The sequence below is a fragment of the Homo sapiens genome, chromosome 2, assembly GCF_000001405.40.
Source record: "Homo sapiens chromosome 2, GRCh38.p14 Primary Assembly".
NCBI classification, from domain to species: Eukaryota; Metazoa; Chordata; class Mammalia; order Primates; family Hominidae; genus Homo; species Homo sapiens.
In genome coordinates this window covers 199419602-199431698 of record NC_000002.12, presented here as the reverse complement: position 1 = coordinate 199431698, position 12097 = coordinate 199419602, and the positions used below count along the sequence as shown (strand labels likewise).

The 12097-nt window shown below is 35.5% G+C and overlaps 1 protein-coding gene across 6 annotated transcripts in view, besides 1 other annotated feature; it reads left to right on the top strand.

Annotated features, from left to right (window-relative positions):
- SATB2 (SATB homeobox 2) overlaps positions 1-12097 on the top strand; it is a 201767-nt gene that overhangs the window by 39568 nt on the left and 150102 nt on the right. The gene's annotated exons all lie outside the window — the stretch shown is intronic.
- Positions 7185-7760: an enhancer, noted in NCBI's record as "NANOG hESC enhancer chr2:200288662-200289237 (GRCh37/hg19 assembly coordinates)". NCBI's record gives its function as "activates a minimal SCP1, AML or CMV promoter by ChIP-STARR-seq in primed H9 embryonic stem cells {active_cell/tissue: H9 hESC(primed)}" and the evidence as "EXISTENCE:reporter gene assay evidence [ECO:0000049][PMID:30033119]".

Below are 12097 nucleotides of genomic sequence, written 5' to 3'. Positions count from 1 at the left end.
TGCACTAGGGAGCCACACTATTCCTTTCAGGGATTTGGACTAAGAATTCTACTCACCAAGGTGAGATATATGAGCAAATAAATGTCATCTACAGTGGAGGATTATTAAACAGGGAACAAGTCAAAAGTGATTATTTGCGTCCTCAAAGTTTTTGAATATTAAGGCTAAAATGCTAAATATTCTACTATTTATAAGTTGAATCAATATTCTTAAGGTGCTCTAGAGTACAGATATACTTTATTTTATAGGTAAGCAAAGATTTTATCACTCAGTCTCGTACTGTAATCTCACAAAGAAAAAAATCAGTTTGTTTTAAATTAGGCTGCTGATCTGTGTTTTGGGGAAATGGAAAAACTTAGAATTGTTTACTTTGAAATAAATATATTAGATCATTGTCTTCATTCAGATCATTAAAAGTATGCTGTTTGCTGCGTGTTTATTGTAGACCAAATAGTATGCATGATAAGACAGGTAATTCATATGCTGGATAAACAGCAGCGTGTGAAAAAGATAGAAAAGGAGGTAGAACAAAATATGACTTTTGATGACTGAAGGCATGAAGTTTTATGGGGGTAGTTTTTTGTTCATTTTTGTTTGACTTTGTTGATTGTTTCATGTTTATGTAATTCCTCCAAGATGAGGACTTGAGGGACTTCCTGGCAAATCCATTTAAAGCAGAGAAATGGCAGTATTCTTGAATCTCTTTTTCCTATGCTGGAAAAGTTGGGCAGAACTAAACTGCAAGGATAGTGGGTTGCTTTAGCCATCTTAAAAATCAAGACTCTTGAAATATGATTTTTCATTTTGATGTGACCAGAAAAGAGTGTCAGTAATTGAGTTGGAAGAGTATTTCAGATTGCCTGTAAAGGAGGAGATACGTTAGCAATGTCATTATTTGGAATAGTCCTCAAGTCCCAATGACAGGGCAGCAGGTCCATGATCTTGTGAACATAGGATAGTCAGTTTCTTTTTCTCAGAGGGTATTCCCTCCAGGTGAGTTGAATTTTTATTAAGAAAGAATATTTCCTCCTAAAGAATGATAGAAATTCTACTAAAATGGAGTTTAGGGATTTCTTTCCCTGTGTTAAAATAACCTTTATTTGAAGGCTAGATATTAGTACCTAAGAGAGAATAGTGTAAAAGATACTGTCATAAACCATGGTAACTGTGTTTCTAGCTGACCCATAACCTCCATTTCCCAACACACATTCTGTTAACTCTGATTCTCAAGGATATGAAATGCAGGATTCATCAGACTTGCTGTTTTGCATATGTAGAAAGCCGAAAGCTGGCAGGCCCTTTGCTTCTACCAGAATAGCTGGACTGAGGTCTAATGAATGGCAAGCATACTTTATACTATATGTATGATGGGCCGTGAGTACACGTCTCTGCATTGAAAGTCTTTTGAAAGAGGCATGTTAATCCAGGGTACTGCTGCTATTCTGGGAACTGCCCCACTCTCCCAACTTAAAACTCACCACTTCCTTTACTATTCTTTCTTCTTTCCTTTTCATCCTTTCAGTTCTTCCCCATAAGGCTTTTGGCAGTAGCCATGGAGCTCCCCACACTGTCCAGAGATTTCTGGAGTCCACTGGTTGAGTAGCTATTCATTCATATTGGCAGTGTGAATGGTGGGCTTTGGGAGGCAGCCGTGATGGCAAGGTAATGCCTCACTGTGCTTGTTTGATTTAATTTGTAAGTGGGCATTTTATCTCTCCCCTACTTTCTGTTAATTTTAAAATAAATTTTAAAATTGACTGTTGATTAATTTAATTAATTAATTTATTTCGAGACGGAGTCTCGCTCTGTCACCCAGGCTGGAGTGCAGGGGCACGATCTTGGCTCACTGCAACCTCTGCCTGCCGGTTTCAGGCGATTCTCCTGCCTTAGGCTCCCAAATAGCTGGGATTACAGGCGCCTGCCACCAAGCCTGGCTAATTTTTGTATTTTTAGTAAAGATGGGGTTTCACCATGTTGGCCAGGCTGGTCTTGAACTCCTGACCTCAGGTGATCCGCCCACCTCGGCCTCCCAAAGTGTTGGGATTACAGGCGTGAGCCTCCGTGCCTGGCCGACAATTTTATTTTAAAACAAACGTGCTTAGCAAATAAGCAAAAATCCTTTCTGACTGGATTTTTTTTAAGGTCAAAATTATATGTTTAAGAAGGGGTATATTAATTGTCACTGTTTCTTATTTATATTGGAGTAATTACATTCATGCAGTCATTTAAATAATGTTTCTAAAACACAGAAAAGGTGTCTTTAATAAATGTTATGTGAATCAAGCAGGGTGCCAAGTACATTCTCAGTGATATAAAATTCCACATATATGCATGGAAGAAGGATGAAGGCAATGTATTAGAATAATCAGCAGAGTAGGTGATGGGATTATGTGGGATTTTCTTCTTTTTCTAATAAAAAAAGTAAATATCAAATTTTACTTCCTTCATGAATTCTTTGAATAAATGGGAAGATAATTATGTCTTATTCCCCAATTTTGATAAGCTGTTCACTTCATCCCTAATTTATCCACAAATGTGAAAATTTATACATGATACAGATGTATTTCTGTTTTTTCAGTGGAAGATTAAAAAAAGAATCAATAAATCGTTAATGAGCCCCTGTAATGTATAAACCAAGGGATTTCTTAGAGTTGGTTTTTTTCTTTCTTTCTTTCTTTTTTTTTTTTTTTTTTGAGACAGAGTCTTGATGTGTATCCCAGGCTGCAGTGCATTGGCACAATCATAGCTTACTGCAGCCTTGAACTTTTGGGTTCAAGCAATCTTCCTGCCTCAGCCTCCTGAGTAGCTGGGTGGCCATGCCACCATGCCCAGCCTAATTTTTACTTTATTTTTTGTAGAGACGAAGTATCCTTATGTTGCCTCAGGTGATTCTCCTGCTTCAGCCTCCCAAAGTGGTGGGATTAAAGGTGTGAGCCACTATACCCAGGCAATTCTTAGAGCTTTAATATAATGCATGGTAACAACTGAGCAATTACTATATGTTGAGCACTATTCTAAGAGATTTACATGTACTAACTCATTTAATTCTCATAACAGACTTTTGAAGTAAGTTATACATTTCCCGTTTCACAGAAGAGGAAACTGAGGCAAAGAAAGGTAGGGGAGTAATTTTCCCAGAGGCGCAGGCTAGTGGGTGGAAGAGCTGAAATCTGAAGTCCATTGATCTATCTCTAGAGTCAAGGTCCTTAACCACACAGCCGTCCTGTGAACAGTTTGATTGCCAGCACTTGCTCTTTACTTTTGGACATAAGCCCTAAAAGGTAGGACTTTTTGGATTAGGTGGTTACTAAATACATGCTGATTATATATATTTGATAATGATGTTTATATATTTCATTTCTTTGATGAAATATATAGATACTTTTTTGAAGTAACAGAGACAGACTTCATTAAAATTTAAAAGCAAACAAAAAGCCAAACCTCATGGAATTGTCATGTACTGAAGCCAACTTCTAAAACTAAATACTTGTAGAGGGCCTATAGTAGGTTGAGCATTTCAAATACATAATTCTTGCTTATGTGACCAAAATGAGTCCTGATACAAAAATAGAACATATTCCTAATCTAGAAGTTTCTTATCAAACTTACAAATGTTTTGTCAGTGTTGATCTGAACCTCATCTGCTTGAAGGCATTGTTATGTAGAAAGCAGAATTTCCATCTATGAACTGGAAACAATGACAAAAATAAAAAAGATTTGAAACCAAAATACCAAGGATATTTTTATAAAAAATGAATGCCTTTATTATTATCACTTTATTATTCATTTATTATATATTTTTCAATGTACTATCTCTTTACAATGTACTATTGGGAAGATCTTTACATAGAGGCTACTTTCAAGGACAATTTTATTGTTAGAAATGAATATTCTTTCAGTTTAAATTGTTCAGTGTTTGAAATGCTCTGCTCTTAAATTCTCTAAAATCATTTTTTATGGAAACATGCAACATATACAAATTCGAGAGACTTGTGTATTAAATATTCATGAACTCCTCATCTAGGATCAACAATTAGAAATTCATGGCCAATCCTGTCTCGTCTCTTTCCCTACCCACTTCTCACCCCCTCCCCCACTGGATTATTTCAAAGTATATCTTAGATATTATATTTTATCCATAATATTTTAATAAATATCTCTAAAAGATAAAGACTATCTTAGAAAACATAAACCACAATACTGTCATAACTCCTAAAAAAAGATAATTCTTTAATTTCACATTCAGTAAAGATTCAAATTTTCTTAATCATTTTGTAATTTTTTTTTTAGTGTTGCCTTATTCAAATTAGGAGCCATACAAATCTATAAATTGCACTTGGTTGATGTGTCCCTTAATTTTTTTTTTGAATCTATGGGTTATCTATTCTTTCACACTTAAAAAAATTCTTTTCTGAAACTTAGGTTTGCTGCTTTAATTCAGAATTTTTGTTTGCTAAACTTAATGAAAATCCTAGTCCTATAAATTCCTTCAAATACTATGATTTTAAATAAACAATTAGTGGCTGTGCACGATGACTCATTCCTGTAATCCCAGCAGTTTGGGAGGCTGAGGTGGGCAGATCCCTTGAGGTCAGGGGTTTGAGACCAGTCTGGTGAACATGGCAAAACCCCGTCTCTACTAAAAATACAAAAATTAGCCAGGCATGGTGGCAGGTGCCTATAATCAATTCCAGCTATGCGGGAGGCTGAGGCAGGAGAATCACTTGAACCCAGGAGGTGGAGGTTGCAGTGAGCCAAGATTGTGATAGTGCCACTGCACTCCATCCTGGGCGACAGAGAAAGACTCTGTCTCTAAATAAATAGATAGATGTCTCTAAATAAATAGATGTCTCTAAATAAAGACTCTGTCTCTAAATAAATAAATAGATGGACAGTCAGATAATTAGTAAGTGCAGTCATAATTTTGGAAAGGAATTCAGAAATTCACCTTTTTTTCTTTTTCTTTCTTTCTTTTTCTTTTCTTTTCTTTTTTTTTTTTTTTTTTTGAGAGAGAATGGTTAAAAGATATATGTTGTCTGGAGTCAAAAGGTTTTTCATGCTCTGAAAGTTTGACATTTTCCCTATTGAAAATGTTTAAAATGGTTCAGGCGTGGTGGCTGACACTTGTAATCCCAGCACTTTGGGAGGCCAAGGCGGGTGGAGCACCTGAGCTCAGGAGTTTGAGACCAGCCTGGCCAACATGACCAGATGGCCAAACCCCGTCTCTACTAAAAATACAAAAATTAGCCAGGCACAGTGGCGCACACCTGTAATCCCAGCTACTGTGGAGGCTGAGGCAGGAGAATCACTTGAACCCGGGAGGAGGAGGTTATAGTGAGCTGAGATTGTGCCACTGCACTGTAGTCTGGGCAACAGAGCAAGACTGCATCTCAAAAATAAATAAATAAATAAAAAAGAAGAAAGCTTTTAAAATGGTTTAATCTTGTCTTGCTTTCTCTATTTCTTCCTTTCACTCTCTCTCTTTTCTCTACTTTTTCTTCTTTAAACACTAAATGTTTGGGAGACTTTCAGCAGTTTTTTCTTTGTAAGGGCAATGTTGAAAAAATATACGTATTTAGACATTTTAGGCCTTAGAGCTAACTTTTAACAGACACGCTGCTTTTTAAAAAATTCTGTGGCTCTCTAAAGAGAGCTGAAAATGCTACCCCAAATTGCTGTTAACCATGTCTCAGCCCTCATTAGAGCTGGATAGGCCGCAATGTAAAACACTATTTGGAGAACACAATTCTTCAACAGACCCCATGCTTTGTCCTCCTCTGCTATATAAAATTAAATATTCATACATATGTGTGTGTGCACATATGCATGTTCATATGCACACAGTGAAACCTGAAATACTAATTAAATGCCAGCGGTAAAATAATGCTCACCTTATTTCCTCATCCCAATACATAGTTAAGATTGAATATCTAATATAATATTTATAGTTCTGTATTCCTTATATTTGTTTATGTTGGCATAAATATGTATTTAACATATATAGATATATAATTATGGCTCACATGAAGGTCAGCTGATGGAAATATTGTTTATATGTTAATTTGTAGAGGGTGAAGACTCTAACTTGATTTTCGGGATACCTAGCAGTTGACTAGGTAGTGCTTGGGGGTAAAAGCTGTTGAGGGCAAGAAATGAATGTGCGATCTCACTTTACCTCTGACCTTGAATTTTCTACTTGAATGCCCACTAAAAAAAGTCCTATCAGTGGAAATAATTCATTTAAAAATGTAGCTTATTATTTCCTCCATGATGAGGAAAGTATTTAGCAGTGTTTTCAGTTATCTGTTTTGCTTGGGATGATAGGCCATGGTAGCAATTAACTTTGATATATTTTTTAAACTGCCTAAAGTCCTTCTTCTCCAGAGCTTAGGCATTAATGCCCATGACCTGGAAGGGACTGGTCATCTGAGACATTCACGTAAAATGATCCAGGTTAAACAGACTGACCTACAGATATATACAACCTTTATTTAATAATTAAGGTATGTCTCATTAAAATATATAACTTCTAGGAGTTTCAAGTGTGAAACCTACAAGCCTAAAATTTGTGGTACTCTGATATGATATATATCATGTTTAATTTTTTGTTCTGCTCCCCTTTAAAGCATAACTGTCTTTTACTAACTTATAGATTTTAAATGTAAAATAGAGTTGTTTGCTGAATAGCTAGGTTTGTTTGTGGTTTAAGAAGATGTAGTACAGATTTCATTCAAGGAACTCATTTGGTAAAAAACACATTCGTTAAAGCACTTAAATTTTTCAATAGTGCTGTTACTTTTTTGATATATTCTTTACATTTAAACTTGTCCATTGATATAACTCCTAGTTTTGATGCTATACCATTATTTTCCAACTCTAAGTAAAGTCTATTTTGGCATTCATAATGGACAGTAAAAAAGTCTTGGCCATAGAGCATTTTGTAATATTAAAATGCTTTTTAAGAAATTCCCTGCTTCCTATTTTGTCTTTTTTTCCTTTGGAAAAGATTTCTCATCATCTGAATCTTATAATTTCAGTTATTTGCAAAATTGTGAAATTTCAGAATTGTAGGTCTTTCACTTCATATGTTAGTATATATTTTACATTTTAATACTTTGTCCAGATTTTCTTTGATACAGTGTTATTATATTTTTACATTCCTATGGGATCCCAGTTCCATAACTATTCATTTATTTCTGTAGTATTAAGTGTTCAATTTATTTATTACTTAGTTCAAATAGCTTAGCATATAAGTGGGACCCAGAGCTGTCGGGGACTTCCTTTGTTTACAGTATGACAGAAGAAGAGCTCGGTGGTGGTTTTGAGAGGCAGGAGTGAAAAGTGAGCATTCTGCTGGCTGTTTGGTCACAGTTGGGCACCTTAGGTTGGTTTCCTAGGTGCCAGATAGATTTTGCGTGACTGTGATGAGCATTTAAAACCCAGCACTTTGAAATGCAGGTTTCTTTTGATGGCAGCTTTGAGAGCTGTAAAGGGTCTTAAGTCAAGGCTGTAGAGCACGTGCCACTTGCTTGCTCAAAAGCAGTATTTGGCAAAATTATTTGTATGTCAATGAGAGAAAACACAAAGGTTCTTCCTCTATCTGTCTGCCTCTTTTTGGTTTGAAGAAATATCACTCAGGACAGAACAGCAAATCTGTGCTACTATTTTACAAGCTTGTTACTCAAGTTGGAAAAGATCGCTGTGGGCTATATGCAAATCAGACAGCGCAGAGGTCCCCCTCAGCTTCCAGGTTGCGCTCAGCAGAGAGATGCTTCCAAGATACTCTTTCTGTCAGTTTTATAAATCAGAGAATAGGATGCTGAAAATCTCCTAGAACATTTAAAACCTTGGCCTTCAATGATTTGGCTGCTCAGGTCTAATAATCTCCCTGGTAAAAGCCTACCATCATGGGAGCTGAGCTAAGAGGGCAGCCTGTTCTTGATTGAAAGCCCTCACCAGCCTCACCAACTTCAAATGGTGGTTCTTCTTGAGAATCTATGCTCCAGAGCCATGGTAATAAATAGCAATTCTAAATGTCTTGTTTTATTACTATGAATACGGTGATTCCTTAAGGGGGTGAAGAGACTTCTTTAAAGGGGGCCTATGTTAGATAATCTGCAATGAAAGATATATCAGAAGTGCATGAAAAAAATCTTTCCATGCATACATTTTTCCATGCACTTCTGATATATCTTTCTTTAAAGATTTTAAAATTAAGATCTTTAGTCTTTTGAGCACTATTGAAAGATAGGTGGTTGAATTTTACCACTCTTACTTTGCAGAAAGGAAAGCTAAGAAACTTTAAAAGAGCACACCTGGAGGCTGTGGTTCTCTAGCATCATATTTTATTCACTCATTTAACAAATATTTTTCAAGTGTCTATTATGTGTTAGATGTTGTTCTAGGTGTTGAGACACAGCAAAGAACCAAATACATAATGTCTCTGCCCTCAAGATACTTACATTCTTATATGTAGGGGAGATGGAAAATAAGCAACTCAATATGTAATAAAATGTTAGGTAGGACCTAACATTATATTATGCTTATTTTGATCCTCTTCTCTCCATTTCGTCTAGAACTAGGGTTTTGGCAAATATAGACTTCTGGAAAGAAGCTGCTTAACCAGAACAAAATGACAGGTTTTGAATATGTTTTGAGGATTAAAACTAAAATGATTGGACACTTAAAAGGTTAAGGTTCAGCTGTCTGAATTATCTGAAAAATTTACTTACATGGACTAACTCATGTTTGGAATAGGATAAATGTAACATTGTTACAATTAGCTTATATTAAGTCATGGTTTTGCTTTTGTGAGGGAAATTGAAGCTTTTACATAATAGACATATTATGGCTATAATAAAATTTGTTAATATTTATTGAGTGCTTCTTATATACCAGGCACTGTCCTAGGGCTTAACATTTACTAACTCATTCAAGCTCATAATAACCCTGTGAAGTACGTAATATTATTGTCCATATTTTACCAATGAAGAGGCTGAGGCTCAGAGAGGCAAATAGCTTGACCAACACCAAAAATTGGCTTCAGAAAATGTGTACTTAACCAATATCCCATTTAGTGGCACTGTATTTCTAATCTGTCAATTGAGTCTAGAATCCAAGTGAATAGTAATTATACCTTACAGGCATAAACCGAAGGTTGACATTTTCAAATTGATAACTTAATGAAGATATGTATTTTAAAATTGAGTGGGGAGCTTGTTTTGAGCTTAAATGACAAAATTGAACTTGCTATCATGGATGGCATTTTATAAGAGCCTGTTTTGTTAGACCCTATTTTTGTATATTTGTATATATAAGCTCCTTATAAACTTATAAAGTTTAAATTTGTTTTTTCTAATTATAAAGTATAATACTTGTTAATTACAAAAAAAAAAACTAAAAATTTTTAAAAGTAGAAGACAAAATTCCCTCATGAACCAACCATTCTAGAGATAAAAATAGGTAATATTTGGGTTGCTTCCCTTTGGTTATAGTTCTATGCATACTTTTACGTAGTGGAGGTCAGATGTATGCAATATTTTCACTTCTAGTTCTTACTTAACATTATAATGTATAACTTCCATAGTCTATATTATTAATTTTAATACTACGTAACCGTGAAGCTTTGGATTTTCAAATCAAATGAGAAACATTAGTTTTCTCTTGATTATCTATTAATGGAAGGATTTAGGAATGGTCAGTAAATTAGGAAGTGTTAAGTGCAGATACTATATACCCAGCACATGCTGGGCAATCAGAGTAATTTACGTCAACATTTATGTGCAGATACAGTTGTTCTTTGAAAATAAATTTATTTTCATTGTTCATTGCAGGTGCAAGGCCAGATTTTTTTACAAAAACTTTTTTGACATTAATGTTCATTTGGCTTGCTTTCTTACCTTTGTCTGTGGTAAGGAGTTAAGCGTTTGTTTTTAATGTGGAAGAAGGCTATAAAGACATTGTGTCAGGAAACTTTAGCTAATTGATTTCATATTTTGTTTTTGTAATTGTCTTGTTCTTACCCACATTTTGTTCATTTTCCTCTTTACAAAACATACACGCAGTATTGTGCGGGTTGGTTACTGACTGCTTACTAGTTTCACGATGACAGTCCTGTGTTAAGATGTTTCTTTGCCCAGGAATTAACAACTGATGACAGTTTGTCCATTTGTTAGCCTCTGTTTTTTGCTGTGTGCAGTAGGATGGAGATTTTATGAAGGAGTCTTTGGGGGAAACTCTGAAGGAAGGTTTTTTTCTATGTTTGAATTGCTTGAGAACAGCCCATTATTGGAGGTAGGGAATTTGTCGAACAAATCATGAAATCTCCCATATTTGCTGGAGTGATGGGTTGTAATCCTTTTTGTTTGTTTGTTTCTATGGGACCTCAGGTCCTGCTGGGCATGGAAAAGAGATAAGCATCTCTCTGTCTCCCTTCTGTATTGTATAATTCTAACGTGACCCAGCTTCTTTTCATAGTCTTTCTTATAGCATACCAAGTATGAGATGGTCCTACCTGGAACCTATTTGAGTACCTACTCTGAACTTTTTCTAATAGTGTCATTGGCTCCATTCTGATTGTCTCCCTTCTGAGTGTATTTCTGGAGTCATGCGGCTCATACTGAGGCCTATCCTCAGATACTGGGATCGTTCTCTTCCTATGTGAGTATGTTGGTAGTCCCAAGATAGAGAGGAGTATTTGTTTTCAGTAAGTATTTGCCTGGGTTTTCATAATAGATATAATTGGCTAGCATTTATAGAACTCAAATTATCTATTAAAATATATTCATGTAACCAAAAATATCAATTTATGTGAAAGAAATATTAGTTATGAAACCAATGTTTCATAATTAAATAAGTATACAATAAGTATACAAATGAGATATCGATTTAACATATTACATTATAATTTGCTATGTTCCTTTTTTACATGTGACCCCCACTAGATATTAAAATGCACCCATTTGCACTTCAAACTAATGCAATTAAGATCATCAGTTGCTTTTCCATCTTATTAAGGAGGAATTTCCTGTTGTGGCTAATGACAAGATTATGAATTTGTCTGAGTCTCTTGGCAGATATTAATTTAACCATGTAAATTAAAAGGAATAGGCCCAACCCTGCTGTAAATCAGGGGATTAAAACATTTGGGGTGGCACATTCTACCAGGAGACTGAGGTGTCACTTAGTACTCAATAAGGGATGCTGGCCACATTGTCTTGGAGTTCCCTAAAATAACCAATTTTTCATCCAAACAAGCACCCACCAGTAGGATGTTTTTTTCTCATCTCCTATTGGAATGCCTTAAGACATAGTCTCACTAGATTCTTATGTCCATTTAGTCCTAAAAACAAGAAAAAAGGAGTGGTATGGGTATTGTTGCTAATGATAATGCTAGGAAACATAGAGCTTACTATGTGTGAGGCACTGTTCTAAGTGTGTTACACATCTTAAATCATTTAATGTTCGCAAACCTCGTGTGGCATAAGCATAATTATCTTCATTTAACAGCTGAGGAAACTGAGGCACAGATGGGCTAAGTGACATACCCCAGGGTACACAGCAAGTAAGTGATGGAGCCAGGACCTAAATGTTCAAACCCAGGCATTCTGTTTCTTGAGACAGTGGCTTAGCCACCACACCCCTCTGCCTCTCTAGGGCATGATTAAGACATTATTGTAATAGTGGGTTATCATTAAGAATACGAATAAAAGTCCCTGTAAGTCCTGACCTAATATAACTAGATTAACTCATTAAAATGCTAAATATTTCTCTCTCTTTTCCTTTATTTATTTTTTTCTTCAGGGGGTGGATTGGGAGGAAGGGAGAGAGGAAGAGAACTTCAAAGACATTACAAATGCATTCTACTTAATCTGAAATACTTTGATGCTTCTGGAAAAGTGAGATGATTTAATTTCATATATAATTGCATGAGGAATTATAAATTATGTTTTCTGAAATACCTATGACATGAAACCACAAAATGAACAGATAAAACTGATTTGTTCTCTGACAAATCAAGATATATGGCGGTGTTTTCATTACAAGTGCCATTTGTGCGGAGGGAGCAGCTGAGTATGCTACAAGATGACAGGAACCG